The following is a 15976-nucleotide window of genomic DNA, read 5'->3' as shown; positions in this document are numbered from 1 at the left end:
AAAAACCAAAGTGCTAACTGTGGCTTACAAAGCCCTATCTGCTATGACCCCATTAATCACTCTGACTCTTTTATCACCCCTTTCCCCATTGATCACTCGGCATCAGGGACTTTGCACTTACGGTCCCCTCTGCCTGGAACACTCTCCAACCCAGGTACTGCATGGCATCCTCTTTTTCCTCCCTCAGACTTTGCTCAATATTACCTTTCCAGCAAGACCTCTCCCAATTCCCTGATTTTAAATCTCCTAACTCCCCAACATCTCACTGCCTGGCTTTCCTTTTCTCCATAACATTTATCAGCATCTGACATGCAATGTATTCTACTTGTTTGCTGGTTTCTTGTCTGTCTCTTCCTACGGAATAGAAATTGTGTTTACTGCTTGTCTCCAGCTTAGACTAAAGTGTGTGACACACATTAGGCGCTCTACAGATACTAGGTGAATGAATAAACACGCAAACTCAGTCCCTCTCATTTGGCCTCTCCATCTTTCTCTTAGCTTCCCTCAAACCTTTTCCTGGTTTTACTCTTTCCTCTCTCAACTGCTGTCTCTCTCAGAATGAATTTTTGTTTCTGTTTCACTCTCTTAATCTCCCCTTTGGACTCTCCCTTTGCCTGTCTCTTAGGTTCTTAATTTTTTCTTTTTCTTTTTTTTTTTTTTTTTGAAATGGAGTCTTGCTCTGTCGCCCAGGCTGGAGTGCAGTGGTACAATCTCGGCTTACTGCAACCTCCACTTCCCAGGTTCAAGCGATTCTCCTGCCTCAGCCTCCCGAGTAGCTGGGATTATAGGCACGTGCCACCACGCCCAGCTAATTTTTGTATTTTTAGTAGAGACGGGGTTTCACCATGTTGTCCAGGCTGGTCTCGAACTCCTGACCTCAGGTGATCCACCCGCCTCGGCCTCCCAAAGTGCTGGGATTCCAGGCATGAGCCACCACACCCGACCGCTCATTCCTTCTTGCATGTTATGTGGTGACAGCATGAACTTCTGCTGGCCTGCTTAAGAAGGTAGCTACTTCAGGCTGCCTGACACCTTGTTTAACCTAGGCCCTCGTTCAGGCTGTAAACATTTGGTTCTTTTAGGAGGAAAAAAAGTTCTATTATTCTTTTGGATAAGAGCAATTACCTGTATAAATGACTGCAGATAAAATTCTGAAATTAAGATGTGAAAAGTCTCAGGAAGCTGGTGCTCTTTTTTTTTTCTTTTCCTTTTTTTTTTTTTGTTTTTTTGTTTTTTTGTTTTTTTGAGACGGAGTGTCGCTTTGTCGCCCAGGCTGGAATGCAGTGATGAGATCTCGGCTCACTGCAAGCTCCGCCCTCCTGGGTTCACGCCATTCTCCTGCCTCAGCCTCCCGAGTAGCTGGGACTACAGGCGCCTGCCACCACGCCTGGCTAATTTTTTGTATTTTTAGTAGAGACAGGGTTTCACCATGTTGGCCAGGATGGTCTCGATCTCCTGACCTCGTGATCCGCCTGCCTCGGCCTCCCAAAGTGCTGGGATTACAGGCATGAGCCACTGCGCCCGGCCAAAGCTGGCGCTCTTTACCGGCACACTGAGAAATCCAGGGGAGTTTTGTGTCCCCACCTTCTTTGTCCTTAAGTCTCTGAGGTCTCACTGTGTCGCCCAGGCTGGAGTGCAATGTTATAATCATAGCTCACTACAGCCTCGACCTCCCAGGCTAAAGTGATCCTCCCACCTCAGCCTCCTGAGTAACGGGGACCGCAGGTGTTCACCACCATGCCTGGCTAAAAGCCCCTGATTTCTTCTCTTCCATTCTTGATGGCTCAGACGCAGCCTTGTGTTAGCAATAGGAAGAGGTTTGAAAGAGGGTATATCTGGAGCTGGTCTCTGAAACCACAAGTTGCTCATGCTCAAAAACTCAACTTCCAGAACTTAAATCTCATCCAGAGTTTCCAATATTGCCAAGTTGGGACTGAAGGTCCTGCTGTCATCTATAGGAGTGGGTGTCTAAGACAGGTGGGTGATAGTCAATTCAATCCTTCCCTGCAGATGGGCCAGGACTGGCCTCTGATCCACGGAAGGAACATTGATTGTCTTAAGCAGACTGAGAACAAGAAGAGGCAATAAGCCATGTGCAGGGAAGGAGGGAGTGGTAAACCGGTATAGCTGGCCCTATGAGGTCCCTCAGACCTAAAGAGCTAGGGATAGATTTCAGCTTGTCCTAAGGGAAAGTTTCCCAACAGCTCAAGCAATGAGTGCCTTGGAAGGTAAGAGCTCCTAATTATTGGGTACATGCAGAGAGAGGCCAGAAAGCCCTAGTCAGGGCTGCTACAGAAGCAAGTCCTGAATGCTGACTTCATGAGCTCATGCTGGGCACCCCTGGGAAAATCACCTGCCTCTCTGGGCCTCAGCACGTTCAAATACAATATGTGGATAAATAACACCATCCTGGCTGGGTGTGGTGGCTCACACCTGTAATCCCAGCACTTTGGGAGGCCAAGGTGGGAGGATCACTTGAGTCCAGAAGTTCAAGACCAACCTGGACAACACAGCGAGACCCCCGTCTCTACCAAAAACAAACAAACAAACAAAACAGTATAGTGGCTCACGCCTGTAGTCCCATAGTCCCAGCTACTCCAAAGGCTGAGCCAGGAGAATTGCTTGAACCCTGTCTCAGAAAGAAAAGAAAAAAAAAACCATCCCATAGAGTTGTCATGAGGATTAAACTGAAAAATATGCCACATAGGCCGGGTGCAGTGGCTCACACCTGTAATCCCAGCTCTTTGGGAGGCCGAGGTGGGGGGATCACTTGAGGTCAGGAGTTCAAGACCAGCCTGACCAACATGGTGAAACCCCATCTCTACTAAAATTATAAAATTAGCTGGGCATGGTGGCTGGTGCCTGTAACGCCAGCTACTTGGGGGGCTGAGGCAGGAGAATTGCTTGAACTCAGGAGGCAGAGGTTGCAGTGAGCTGAGATCGAGCCATTGAACTCCAGCCTGGGCAATAAGAACAAAACTCAGTCTCAAAAAAAAAAAAAAAAAAAGAAAGAAAAAAAAATATGCCACATAAACAGGGACAGTGTGCTGGCACCCAAGGGCTTAGGAAGCAGTGACTGTCACTTCCAGGTTCCAGTCCTGACTAGAATTTCCTTGTTGTGTGACCTTGGGCAAGTCGCTTAACCTGATTTTCTCACCTATAAAATGAGAATCATGTAAGGATTAGTATCAAGACTATGTATTTCTGTAAAGATGCAACAAGTAAGTTGTTTTGTTTTTTGTTTGTTTTTTTTTTTTTTTTTTTTGAGATGGAGTCACTCTGTCACCCAGGCTAGAGTGCAGTGGGGCCATCTCAGCTCACTGAAATCTCTGCCTCCCAAGTTCAAGCGATTATTCCACCTCAGCCTCCCAAAGTGCTAGGATTACAGGCACACACCAACACGCCCAGCTAATTTTTGTGTTTTAGTAGAGATGGGGTTTCGCCATATTGCACAGGTTGATCTCAAAATCCCAAGCTCAGGCAATCCACCCACCTCGGCCTCCCAAAGTGCTAGGATTACAGGTGTGAGCCACCATGCCGAGCTCTTTTATTTTGTTTTGAAACAGAGTCTCACTCTTGTCTCACAGGCTGGAGTACAGCGCTTGAACCACCTCCCGGAGGCAAGCAATTCTCCTGCATAAGCCTCCCGAGTAGCTGGGGTTACAGGCACCCATCACCATGCCCAGCTAATTTTTGTGTTTTTAGTAGAGACAGGGTTTCACCATATTGGCCAGACAGGTCTTGAACTCCTGACCTCAGGTGATCTGCCCGCCTCAGCCTCCCAAAGTGCTGGGATTGCAGGTGTGAGCCACTGCACCAGCTCTTCACAATTCTGAACTCATTGCAGCCTCATAACAACGCTTTCACTTTCCTACAGGGAGGCCATGGGGCACAAGGGCTAAATGACTTGCCCAACGTCCTGGCAGTCTGTGGTCCTTCTTGCCCCAGGAGAAGCAATCTGGCTCCAGCAATCAAGGTGTTACTTTGTTGTGGGGGTAGGGGTCACACCCAGGAAGCAGGCATCCTAATTCCACCAACCACTCTGGCTCCTGTCCAGGGGGGCAAGGGTGAGCCTGGGCTGAGAACTGGAGGCTCTTTCCTGTCAGGGGTCAAAACTCAGCTCTTGGAGCTCGCATCCAGAAAGAGGGGAGGGTCAGACCGGGCACGGTGGTTCACGCCTATAATCCTGGCACTTTGGGAGGCCGACGCGGGCAGATTGCTTGAGCCCAAGAGTTCGAGATCAGCCTGGGCAACGTGGTGAAACCCCGTCTCTACAAAAAAATACAAAAATTAGCCAGGCGTGGTGGCACATGCCTATGGTCCCAGGTGCTTGGGAGGCAGAAATGGGAGGATCACTTGGGCTTGGGAAGTTGAGGCTACAGTGAGCCGGGAGGGTGCCATTACACCCCAGGCTGGGCGACAGAGCCTGACCCTGTCTCCAAAACAAAAGCAACAAAAGAATTTACAGTCTGCTCACAGAGCACATGCACCTGCCAAAAGATGTCACTTGTTCTCACTGAGCTCCGACCTGAAACTGCTGCAGGAGGGAGGCTTCCAGTTCTCCGAGAGAAACGGCTGCATTTCCCCAGTCCCTTGTCCCTTGCCTCCCTGTGACATCTCACCGAAGTGCTAACACTTGCTCTGAGGTGACGGCAGGTGACAATCACAGCCAGGAGCTTCCCCGTCTCCATCTGAATGTGTGTATCAGTAGGACGTAACTGGGGTCAGATGCCAGGGGCAAGCTGGGCCCCAAAGGAAGGACCTGGGTGGTGATGCTCAGAAGTAAGGAGAGCTTCACCCCACGGGGACTCACATGCTCACCTCCTCTCTACCAAGAAGCTGAGTGTGAGGAGGAGAGAGGCATCACTCACTCACACACACGCATATACACACACATACACACACTCCTGTAGGTGCATTTTCCTGCAGCCCCAAAGTTTCCGTTGTAAGGCATCACATTTGTTTTACCTAAAGCAAAGGCCACCCCATCCAAACAAGGGCTCTGGAGATGCAGGCAGGAGGCCACATGGCAAAGGGGACCCCTGCTCTGCGTTGTAGGGATTGAATCAGGCAATCATTTTTAAATGGATCAAACACCCAAAGCTCTTCCAATTCTACCAAAGTGAAAAGAGCAGGTTTCGATGATTCTAGATTCTAGGATTCTTGTGTCATTCTACAACAGCTTATCAAGGCTGGATCTGTGCCAAGCTCTGTGCTGGAATGTGACCTTGGACAAGCCCTTCCACCTCTCTGAACCTATCTTCTCATTTACAAAGTGGGGCCATGATTCCCTATCTCAAAGGGATTGCTATAAGGCTTAGAAATAATGCACGTGGGCTGGGCATGGTGGCTCACGCCGGTAATCCCAGTACCTGGGGGGGCCAAGGCAGGCAAGATTGCTTGAGCCAAGGGGTTCGAGACCAGTCTGGGCAACATGCCAAAACCCCATCTCTACTAAAAATACAAAAGTTAGCTGGGCATGATGGCTCACGCCTGTCATCCCAGTTACTCAGGAAGCTGAAGCACAAGAATCATTTGAACCCATGAGGCAGAGGTTGCAGTAAGGGGACATTGCACCACTGCACTCCAGCCTGGGTGACAGAGCAAGATTCTGTCTAAAAACATATATATTACAAAAATTGGCTGGGCATCGTGGTGCACACCTGTAGTATCAGCTATTTGGGAGGCTGACATGGGAGGATCGTTTAAGCCCAGGAGGTCAAGGCTGTAGTGAGCTATAATCATGCCATTGCTCTCCAGCCTGGGCAACAGACTGAGACCGTATCTCAAAAAAATAAAAAAAAAAAGAGAGAGAAAAAGAAAAAGAAAAGAAAGGAAGGAAGGGAAGAAGGGAGGGAGGGAGGGAAAGGAAAGAAAGAGAGGAAAGAAGAAAGAAAGAAAGAAGAAGGAGGAAGGAAGGGAGGGAGGGAGGGAGCAAGGGAGGGAGAGGGGGAGGGAGGGAGGGAGAGAAGGAAGGAAGAAAGGAAGGAAAAGAAAAGAAAGAGAGGAAAGAAGAAAGAGAGGAAGGAAGGAAAGGGAAGGGAGGAAGGAAGGAAAGAAGGAAAGGAGGGGGGAGGAAGGGAGAGAAGGAAGGAAGGAAAGAAAGAGAAAGAAAGAGACAGAAAGGAAGGAAAGAAGGAAGGAAGGAAGGAAATAAAGAGGAGATAGAAAGAGAGAAAGAAGAAAGAAAGAGGAGGGGAGGGAGGGAGGAAGGGAGGGAAGGAAGGAAGGAAGAAAGGGAAAGAAAGAAAGAAAGGAAAGAAAGAAAAAGAAAGAAAGAAAGAAAGAAAGAAAGAAAGAAAGAAAGAAAGAAAGAAAGAAAAGAGAGGCCGAGTGTGGTGGCTCATGCCTGTAATCCCACTAATTTGGGAGGCAGAGGCGAGCAGATCACAAGGTCAAGAGATCAAGACCATCCTGGCCAGCATGGTGAAACCTCATCTCTACTAAAAATACAAAAATTAGCTGGGTGTGGTGGTGCGCACCTGTAGTCCCAGCTACTTGGGAGGCTGAGGCAGGAGAATCGCTTGAACCTGGGAGGTGGAGGTTGCAGTGAGCCGAGATCACGCCACTGCACTCCAGCCTGGCAACAGAGCAACACTCCATCTCAAAAAAAAAAAACAGAGAGAGAGAGAAAGGGAAAAACAAAAGAAGGAAAGGAGGGAAGGAAGGAAGGAGGCATGCGAAGGACTGCAGACTAAAGGCTTATTTCTATTATTTATTAGAAGAGGTGACTCCTAGGTTGGGTGTGTTGGCTCACACCTGTAATCCCAGTGCTTTGGGAGGCCAAGGCAGGAGGATCGCTGAGCCCAGGTGTTGGAGATCAGCCTGGGCAACATAGCCAGACCCCATCTCTACAAAAAAATTAAAAAATTAGCTGAGCATGGTGGCATGCACCCGTAGTTCCAGCTACACAGGAAGCTGAGGTGGGAGGATCGCTGGAACCCAGGAGTTCGAGGCTACAATGAGCTATGATTGCGCACTGCACTCCAGCTTGGGCAACAGAGTGAGACCTCATCTCTAAAATAAAAGCAGAAAAGAAAAAGTGATGCCTGATGAACGTCAGAAGACAGGCAGGAACTCACCAAGTAGACCAGGAGGAAAAAGAGGCCAAGCAGAGAGCAGCTCCCACAGGGGCGGAGGTTCACGGATCAGCAAGCTGGAAGGGGCAGCTGAAGAGGTTGGCAAGGACCTTGAAGGCCAAGCCAAGGGCTTGGGACTTGAGTTTGAGGGCACTGGGGAGTCATGAGGGGGTCTCTGAGCCAGGCAGGTGCAGGATCATATGTGTGGGTTAGGAAGATGTATCCTTCTGGCCACAGTGCACAAAAGGAAATGGAGATTCTGGAAGGATAAAGGCCAGTGAGAAGGCATGATAAACATCCATGAGCCAAGGAACACTGGCTGTTGGACCACAAGTGCCACCCATGGTGAGGATGTTGGCACACAGCTTACCCCAGCCCACATGCTACAAGGATGGGGAGCAAGGCCAGGCACAGTGGCTCACACCTGTAATCCTAGCATGTTGGGAGGCCAAGGCAGGAGGACTGCTGAGCCCAGGACTTTGAGACCAGCCTGAACAACATAGGGAAACCCATTCTCTATAAAAATTTTAAAAACTAGCCAGGCATGGTGGCACAACTGTAGTCGCAGGTACTCAGGAGGCCGAGGTGAGAGAATTGCTTGAGCCCAGGAGTTCAAGGCTGCAGTGAGCCACAATCCCTCCGGTGTACTCCAGCCTGGGCAACAGAGTGAGGTCCTGTCTTCAAAAGAAAAAACAAACAACAACAACAACAACAACAAAAAGGCTTTCAGCAGGGTAGCAGAGCACTGCTCCCCATCGTGGTTTTTGTTTGTTTGTTTTTGTTCCTGTTTTGAGATGGAGTTTCGCTCTTGTTGCCCAGGCTGAAGTGCAATGGTGTGATCTCAGCTCACTGCAACCTCCACCTCACGGGTTCAGGCGATTCTCCTGCCTCAGCCTCCCCAGTAGCTGGGATTACAGGCACCTGCCACCACGCCCGGCTAATTTTTGTATTTTTAGTAGAGATGGGGTTTCACTCTGTTGGCCAGGCTGGTCTCAAACTCCTGATCACCCACCTCGCCCTCCCAAAATGCTGGGATTACAGGCATGAGTCACCGTGCCCGGCCCATCCTGGTTGTCTTGTTTGTTTTTGAGACAAGGTGTCTGTTGCCGAGTGGCACAGAGTGCAGTGGCACAATCATAGCTCACTGCACCCTCAACCTCCTGGGCTCAAGTGACCCTCCGGCCTCAGCCTCCCAAAGCACTGAGATGACATGCGTGATGAGCCACTGCACCCAGCCATGCTGGAAGCTTTTGAATACAACATGCTGCAGGCATCACAGCCTCATTCATTCCTTCACTCAGCAAATCTTTACTCAGCACCTAATGTGTTCCAGATACATTTTTTTTTTTCAGATGGAATCTAGCTCTGTCACCCAGGCTGGAGTGCAGTGGTGCAATCTTGGCTCACTGTAGCCTCTGCCTCCGAGGTTCAAGCGATTCTCATGCCTCAGCCGCCCTAGTAGCTAGGATTACAGGCGCCCTCCACCACACACAGCTATTTCCAGGTACATTCTTGACGCTAGGAATTCAGCAAAGAATAAGACAGTTAAGGTCTCCGATGCTCATAGGCCTCACATTTTAGAGAGGGATGAATGTCCAATAAGCATATAAACGTATAATATGTCAGGGTCGTATGACTACAAGGAACAGTGATTGTTACAACCCAGATGAGAGGGAAAAATAAAGGATTCCAAATATCCCCCTTGGGAAGTAGAGTCAGGATTCAAACAAAGAACTGTATGGCTTCAAGTTCATGGTCTTTAATCTCCTGGAGGCTGTCTCTCTTTCTTTTTTCTTTTTTTTAATCAGTGTTGGGATCAAATTCTGGCTCCCCTAGGAAGCATCTGGCAAGGTTTCGGGAGCCATCGGGTTGGCCATGTTATGCTGGAATATTTATAAGCACCGGAGGGTTATCCCCATGTCGTAGAAAATGAAACTGAAGCTCAGAGAGATTTGCACTCTCTGCCCTTTTGTACAACTCATTTTTCCCCAGTATGTGGAATTGAGGGAGCTTCACGCTTCTAGCTGTCATGATTCCAAGATTCTACGACATGTGGGAGAGGATCCTAAGGTTCGGGGAACCGCGGAGGTTTCGGGGTTCTAGAAATCCGAGGTTCTAAGCCTAGGTGCTCCAATAAACCCAGTGAGAGCCAGCCCAGGTTTCCGGTCTGTACCCGCTGGTGCAAGCCCAGAGACAAGCAGGCGCCACCCATGAGCCCCTCTGCGGCCCCCTCCCGGGTCCCACCTCGCAGGCCAGCTGGAGGGCGCGATCCTGGCGTCCCCCGACGGCCTGGGGCCCCAATCCAGAGGCCTGGGTGGGAGGGGACCAAGGGTGTAGTAAGGAAGCGCCTTTTGCTGGAGGGCAACGGACCGGGGCGGGGAGTCGGGAGACCAGAGTGGGAGGAAGGCGGGGAGTCCAGGTTCCGCCCCGGAGCCGACTTCCTCCTGGTCGGCGGCTGCAGCGGGGTGAGCGGCGGCAGCGGCCGGGGATCCTGGAGCCATGGGGCGCGCGCGCGACGCCATCCTGGATGCGCTGGAGAACCTGACCGCCGAGGAGCTCAAGAAGTTCAAGCTGAAGCTGCTGTCGGTGCCGCTGCGCGAGGGCTACGGGCGCATCCCGCGGGGCGCGCTGCTGTCCATGGACGCCTTGGACCTCACCGACAAGCTGGTCAGCTTCTACCTGGAGACCTACGGCGCCGAGCTCACCGCTAACGTGCTGCGCGACATGGGCCTGCAGGAGATGGCCGGGCAGCTGCAGGCGGCCACGCACCAGGGTGAGCCGCCCCCGTTCCCCTCCACCCCGTCTTTCCCCTCCACCCACACCAGCGCTTACCCCGCGGGCTCTTCCGCTTTCTGTTCCTCCTACCCCTAAACAAAGCTGCTCTACCGGAAAGGAGGCTCCCCACGCTTGGCCTACCGACCAACGGGACCCCGGCCCCACGGCGGGAAGGGAAGGGAAGGGGATCACTTGGCCCATATCCTTCCAGGCTCTGGAGCCGCGCCAGCTGGGATCCAGGCCCCTCCTCAGTCGGCAGCCAAGCCAGGTGAGGCCTCCACACCCAGCCCGGCCCCACCGCACTCCTGCACAGCCTGCATCTGTGCTCCCGCAACCAGGGCAGGGCAGGGCAGGGCAGGCACGGCTTGGCAACCCTGCGCACCCCACCCACCAACCCACACCCTGCGGGGGAAGGGAGACAATATTACCCTCATCCCACTGCATGTGGGGTCCTGGTGGCCGCCCCCTGGAGCCCTGCCCCTAGGCTTGCAGAGGAATTCCTGAAGAACTCAAGTTCAGCAGGGACAGGCCCCACACCCTGGCTGCTGGCTCATGTTCTCCTCCCACCCCCAGGCCTGCACTTTATAGACCAGCACCGGGCTGCGCTTATCGCGAGGGTCACAAACGTTGAGTGGCTGCTGGATGCTCTGTACGGGAAGGTCCTGACGGATGAGCAGTACCAGGCAGTGCGGGCCGAGCCCACCAACCCAAGCAAGATGCGGAAGCTCTTCAGTTTCACACCAGCCTGGAACTGGACCTGCAAGGACTTGCTCCTCCAGGCCCTAAGGGAGTCCCAGTCCTACCTGGTGGAGGACCTGGAGCGGAGCTGAGGCTCCTTCCCAGCAACACTCCGGTCAGCCCCTGGCAATCCCACCAAATCATCCTGAATCTGATCTTTTTATACACAATATACGAAAAGCCAGCTTGAACTTGTGTGTTTTCCTGCTTCTAGCCTGCTGGCATGTGCAGAGCTCAGCTATGCTTCAGAGGCCACCCAGCCTCCAGCTCCATGTCCCTAGGGTCTCTGGCACCCCAAATGCTTCCCCCATCCTTCCTGGTATCGCCATGGAATATCCCTCCTCATTCACCAGGTGGTGCTCCTCCAGTGCTCCCTAAAGGGTCTAACCTTACCATTATAGATAACAGCCTGTGACCCAGGTCCGAAGGTTAAAAGAGGCATGTACCAAAGGGCGCAAACTGGTGGGCAGCTCTGTCCAAGCCATTTAGAAACACACTAGTCTTCATAGCTCCCCTACCTTCCACATTTTCCACTGGAGAAAAATGCAGAATTAGAGAAATTTGCAGGGGGAGACACATTAGAGCATTATCTAAACATAGGACAGAAGAGCACAAGTCACCAAATTGCTCGAGGGCTCCTTCTGGTGCTGGCTCTTAACAGGCTTAAAGGCTCCCTCTGCCCCACCCCATCCCGTGGGGGAAAGGGTCATAGGTTGCACTTTGCTCAAAAAACATGCCAACCACCAAAGCAGATTTTCAGGAAATGAGTTGTGTGTGGTAGCTGCCTCTTTTCTTGATGCGATTTTTTTGGAGGGTTATTACTTATTCATTCATTTGAAAGGAACATTTAAAACTTTTTTTTTGAGATGGAATCTCGCTGTGTCACCCAGACTGGAGTGCAGTGGCGTGACCTCAGCTCACTGCAACCTCCACCTCCCAGGTTCAAGCTATTCTTGTGCCTCAGCCTCCCGAATAGCTGGGATTACAGGCCCCTGCCACCACACCTGGCTAGTTTTTGTGTTTTTAGTAGAAACAAAGTTTCACCATGTCAGCCAGGCTGGTCTGGAACTTCGGACCTCAAGTGGTCCACCCGCCTCCACCTCCCAAAGTGCTGGGGTGCTGGAATTACAGGCGTGAGCCAATGCACCCGGCCACTTTTTTCTTTTTTTTTTTTTGAGACGGAGGCTCACTCTGTCACCCAGGCTGGAGTGCAGTAGCATGATCTCAGCTCACCGCAACCTCTGCCTCCCAGGTTCAAGCAATTCTTGTGGCTCAGCCAGTCAAGTAACTGGAATTACAGGTGCTTGCCACCCCACCCGGTTAATTTTCGCATTTTTAGTAGAAACGGGATTTTGCCACGTTGCCCAGGCTGGTCTCAAACACCTGACCTCCAGTGATCCATCCACCTCAGCCGCCCAAAGTGCTGGGATTACAGGTGTGAGCCACCGGGCCCACCTTCTTGATGCAATTTTTGCCTACAAAGGGAAATATGAGTATCTCTCTCCAGGAAACTTGAGGTCTTTCCAGAGGCTGTTTGGGAAAGCAGGAATCTAGGGCTACTTCCTAAGTACACTTTACAAGCAATCCTTTCTGGCCTTGAAGAGGGAGGATTTGCAAAGCAATGGGCAGATACCAAGGAGACCCTGAATCCTATCCTTAGGAATCACCAAACAACCACTTTCCAACCTCACTGCCCCACCAGGCTTATCTCTAATTACATCTTATCTGCAACACACCTCCTACCTTGTCCTCCCTGCCTCTAGCTCCAAGAGCCTGAGAAATCCAAACTGATCATGGGAACAGACTCTCACTTTTTTTGAGACGGGATCTCATCTGTTGCTCTGGCTGGTGTGCAGTGGTGTGATCATGGTTCACTGCAGCCTCAAACCCCTGGGCTCAAGCAATCCTCCAGCCTCAGCCTCCTGAATAGCCGGGACTACAGGTGCATACCACCATGCCCAGCTGACTGTCATTTTTAACAGGACACCTAAACTCTCCTCCTAACCTGGCACTTAACCCCATGCAACCTCTCCTCTCCTCACATACCCACGATCCCACCACTATCTGCTCATACCAGGTGCCCTTGCACATGCTGACCCCTTTATCTCTGGACACCTTGACATCTTCTACCTGCCCCAGACTGCCCATACGCATGCGTTCCTCTGGGTTTCAGAGGCTCTTCCCAGTGTCTCTGTGGCAATGCAAACCATGTGCTGGTCTACCTTCACAGAAGACTCCACCACTCCCCTGCTTAAATGGACGCTTAAATGGAGACATCTTTTCAACCTCTGTACAAGTGCCTTGCATGTAGAAAGTAATATATGGCAGTTACTGTGTATCTCTAGTATCTAACAGGATTTTTTTTAAACTTCACAGGAACCTAATCATTCTCCTGACATGGGGCCATAGGTAACACATCCTTGCATGACAGACATCCTTAGAGTCACTACAAAAACCAGTGCAGGCCTGAGGGAAGGAAGTGGTTCCAAGAAAGTTTCCCTAAGATAAAACATTTCTTGGGGCTTCCTTTTTCCTTTGGGCTGTGGGAGAAAGAGTCCTACCAGAAGTCTCCTCAGATTTTAGGCATAGCATAGTGGTTAAGGACAGAAGTTCTATAGCTAAAGAATAGAGGTTCAAGTCCCTGCCCCACCTCTCACTAGCTGTGTCAGCATCCCCTCTAAAGTGGGAGTGACAGGAATCAGCTCATCCCCTAACAGCAACTGGCTCATGGCAAGTACACCTCAGAGTTAGCAATCACCTCCACTAAGACGATTCTGCTCCTAGCCCCTCAATGGCTTAGAACTGTATCTGGGAACCTGTGCTATCCCAAGAACAATCTAGAGTGCCCCTCTGGCAGCACCCCCAAACTCGTTCTGTCACTCCCAGTCCTAGTCGTGGCTCCATGGGTGTGGAAATCCCAGCCCCAGTCTGGATGGCCCCAGACAACTCCAGCATCTTGGGACACATCCCAGATAAGCTGAACGGCAGCCACTGCAAGCGGCAACATTCCTGCCAAGCCCCAGAACTGGATTTCAGAGACATTCAACAAAGTGAAGGAACAACTCAAAATCACCTTCCCCTAACACCTGAAGGGCTTTCCCATGCTTCTCTGAGGCCCTGCAGGAACCAAATCCCATCCCTGTGCTGAGAACTCCCTCCATGATGGTCCAGATCTCCCCACACCAGCAAAAATCCCACAAAGAGGACAGCATCCTCTTTTTTGCTCAAACCTCCCATTTAAGCTTCACAAGACTTAAAAAAAAAAAAACAGAACAGAAGCCAGTGTTGACTGGGCCTCTGCTAATTACAAAAACCCACACGCAGGGCCCTGTCTTCCTTTTCCTTAGCTCCTAGCCAGCATTTTATATAGAAATATAATCCTAGCACTTAGGGACGCCGAGCAGAGAGGATTGCTTGAGCTCAAGAGTTTAAGACCAGCCTGAACAACACAGTGAGACCTCATCTCCACAAAATAATTTTTAAAATTAGCTGGACATGGTGGTTCATGCCTGTAGTCCGAGCCACCGTGGCTGAGGTGGGAGAATTACTTGAGCCCAGGAATTGGAGGTTGCAGTGAGCTGTGATCATGCTACTGCACTCCAGCTTGGGCCACAGAGCAAGACCCTGTCTCAAAAAAATAAAACAGGGGGGTGAGAGAGGGAGAAAGATGAAAGTTTTGTACAAAGTTCCCCTTCAGAAATAATTTGACTCTGCCAAACTCTAGAACGTTACTCTGAGAGGTGTTGAACCAACAGCATCATTATCACCAGAAAGCCTGTCAGAAATGCTTTGCGGGGAGGGCAGGGGGACAGTCTTGTTCTGTTTCCCAGGCCTGCGGGCTGGAGTGCAGTGGTGGGAACACAGCTCACTGCAGCCTCAACCTCTCCAGCTGGGACCACAGGTACATGCCACCACACTTTTTTTTTTTTGAGATGGAGTCTCATTCTGTCACCCAGGCTTGAGTGCAGTTGCATGATCTCAGCTCACTGCAACCTCCACCTCCCAGGTTCAAGCAATTCTCCTGCCTCAGCCTCCCAAGTAGCTGGGATTACAGGTGCATGCCACCACACCTGCCTAAATTTTGTACTTTTAGTAGAGGTGGGCTTTCACCATGTTGGCCAAGCTGCCCACCTTGGCCTCCCGAAGTGCTGGGATTACAGGTGTGAGCCACCGCGCCCAATTTTTTAAAATTCTGGTAGACAAAATGTTGCTGTTACCCAGGTTAGTCTCAACTCCTGGGCTCAAGTGATCCTCCCACCTCGGCCTCCCAAAGTGCTGGGATTACAGGAATGAGCCACCGCACCTGGCCTGAAATGCGTATCTTGAGCCCCACCTGGACCTACTGAGCTAGAATCCATATGTTGACAAATTATAAAGTTCAATTTATAAATTAAGCACAGGAGATTATTATACTGTACTGAAACTGTGTAAGATGAAACCATAGGTAAGGGAGGATTCCTCTGTATATATATATATTTTTTTTAATCTGTGTGTGTGTGTGTATATATATAGGTATAGATAGATAGATAGATAGATTATCCCCCTCAAGTTATAGAGGATGTGGTTCTAGCCATCTCAGACTGACAGGTTTGCGCACCCCTGCCCACAAGAGTAGGGATTTGCCTTGTTTCCTCCTCAAGGGCACAATAAACAGGATGGGTCAACTTTCCCTCAAACTCTGGAAAATCAAAACCAAAAAACAAGCACAACAAGCCTAGGTCTCCTTTTATTTATTTACTTATTTTTTTGAGAGTCTCGCACTGTCGCCCAGGCCAGGGGGCAATGGCACGATCTTGGGTCACTGCAACCTCCACCTCCCGGTTTCAAGCGATTCTCCTGCCTCAGCCTCTCGAGTAGCTGGAATTACAGGTGCCTGCCACCAGGCCTGGCTAATTTTTTGTATTTTTAGTAGAGACAGGGTTCACTATGTTGGCCAGGCTGGTCTCAAACTCCTGACCTCGTGATCTGCCTACTTCAGCCTCCCAAAGTGTTGGGATTACAGGCACAAGCCATCGCACCCAGCTGCCAGGTCCCCATTCTTAAGAACACTGCACTCAGTAGTGACAAAGAATCGGTGTGATTGTGCAACACCCCTCGGCGTGATGAGCACAGGCAGGATGTCACCTGGGAAACTCGGTTCCTGCCCACTTCATCCGGCCCTCGACTGCCCTTGCTTGGACCCTGCTTGCTCAAACACTTTGTCGTTGGCTCCAGAGTCCAGCATCAGCACTCTCACAGGGACAGCACATCCACCATCTTCAGCCCAACCATCCAAGCTTTCCTCTGCCTCTTGCCGCTAACATGGGTGGCCCTCAATTGTTTTCCAGGTAAGAGTCTCTACTGCCCCAATATTTAGGGCTAAAGCCACAATCCAAGGAGCTGAC

The 15976-nt window shown here is 50.7% G+C and overlaps 1 protein-coding gene and 1 long non-coding RNA gene across 3 annotated transcripts, besides 3 other annotated features; one reads left to right on the top strand and one right to left on the bottom strand.

Moving 5' to 3' along the window:
• On the bottom strand, window positions 8817–10384 carry PYCARD-AS1 (PYCARD antisense RNA 1). The gene is made up of 2 exons (NR_102400.1): window positions 10283–10384; window positions 8817–9809 (listed from the first exon to the last, which is right to left on the bottom strand). It is a non-coding gene; the product is annotated as a PYCARD antisense RNA 1 (long non-coding RNA).
• Window positions 9159–9518: a silencer, noted in NCBI's record as "silent region_7416". NCBI's record gives its function as "represses an Ori minimal core promoter by ATAC-STARR-seq in GM12878 lymphoblastoid cells {active_cell/tissue: GM12878}" and the evidence as "EXISTENCE:reporter gene assay evidence [ECO:0000049][PMID:35858748]".
• On the top strand, window positions 9509–10783 carry PYCARD (PYD and CARD domain containing). Of its 2 annotated transcripts, NM_013258.5 has the most exons (3): window positions 9509–9852; window positions 10066–10122; window positions 10428–10783. In NM_013258.5, the coding sequence occupies exons 1-3, from the start codon at window positions 9579–9581 to the stop codon at window positions 10682–10684; spliced, it is 588 nt and encodes a 195-aa protein (NP_037390.2). In that variant the 5' UTR covers window positions 9509–9578; the 3' UTR covers window positions 10685–10783. The 2 variants fall into 2 exon arrangements, with proteins under 2 accessions (NP_037390.2, NP_660183.1); NM_145182.3 differs by lacking the exon at window positions 10066–10122.
• Window positions 9629–9858: an enhancer, noted in NCBI's record as "active region_10757". NCBI's record gives its function as "activates an Ori minimal core promoter by ATAC-STARR-seq in GM12878 lymphoblastoid cells {active_cell/tissue: GM12878}" and the evidence as "EXISTENCE:reporter gene assay evidence [ECO:0000049][PMID:35858748]".
• Window positions 10048–10678: an enhancer, noted in NCBI's record as "H3K4me1 hESC enhancer chr16:31212912-31213542 (GRCh37/hg19 assembly coordinates)". NCBI's record gives its function as "activates a minimal SCP1, AML or CMV promoter by ChIP-STARR-seq in naive H9 embryonic stem cells {active_cell/tissue: H9 hESC(naive)}" and the evidence as "EXISTENCE:reporter gene assay evidence [ECO:0000049][PMID:30033119]".

The sequence above is a fragment of the Homo sapiens genome, chromosome 16 (assembly GCF_000001405.40).
Source record: "Homo sapiens chromosome 16, GRCh38.p14 Primary Assembly".
Lineage (NCBI taxonomy): Eukaryota > Metazoa > Chordata > Mammalia > Primates > Hominidae > Homo > Homo sapiens.
This window is presented reverse-complemented; position numbering and strand designations above follow the sequence as displayed.

Excerpts from the sequence above, each read along its gene's own strand:
- PYCARD (NM_013258.5), top strand. The coding sequence starts at position 9,579 with ATGGGGCGCGCGCGCGACGCCATCCTGGATGCGCTGGAGAACCTGACC. Across the intron at positions 9,853-10,065 it reads GCAGGCGGCCACGCACCAGG|GCTCTGGAGCCGCGCCAGCT; the intron begins GTGAGCCGCCCC and ends ATATCCTTCCAG. Across the intron at positions 10,123-10,427 it reads TCAGTCGGCAGCCAAGCCAG|GCCTGCACTTTATAGACCAG; the intron begins GTGAGGCCTCCA and ends TCCCACCCCCAG.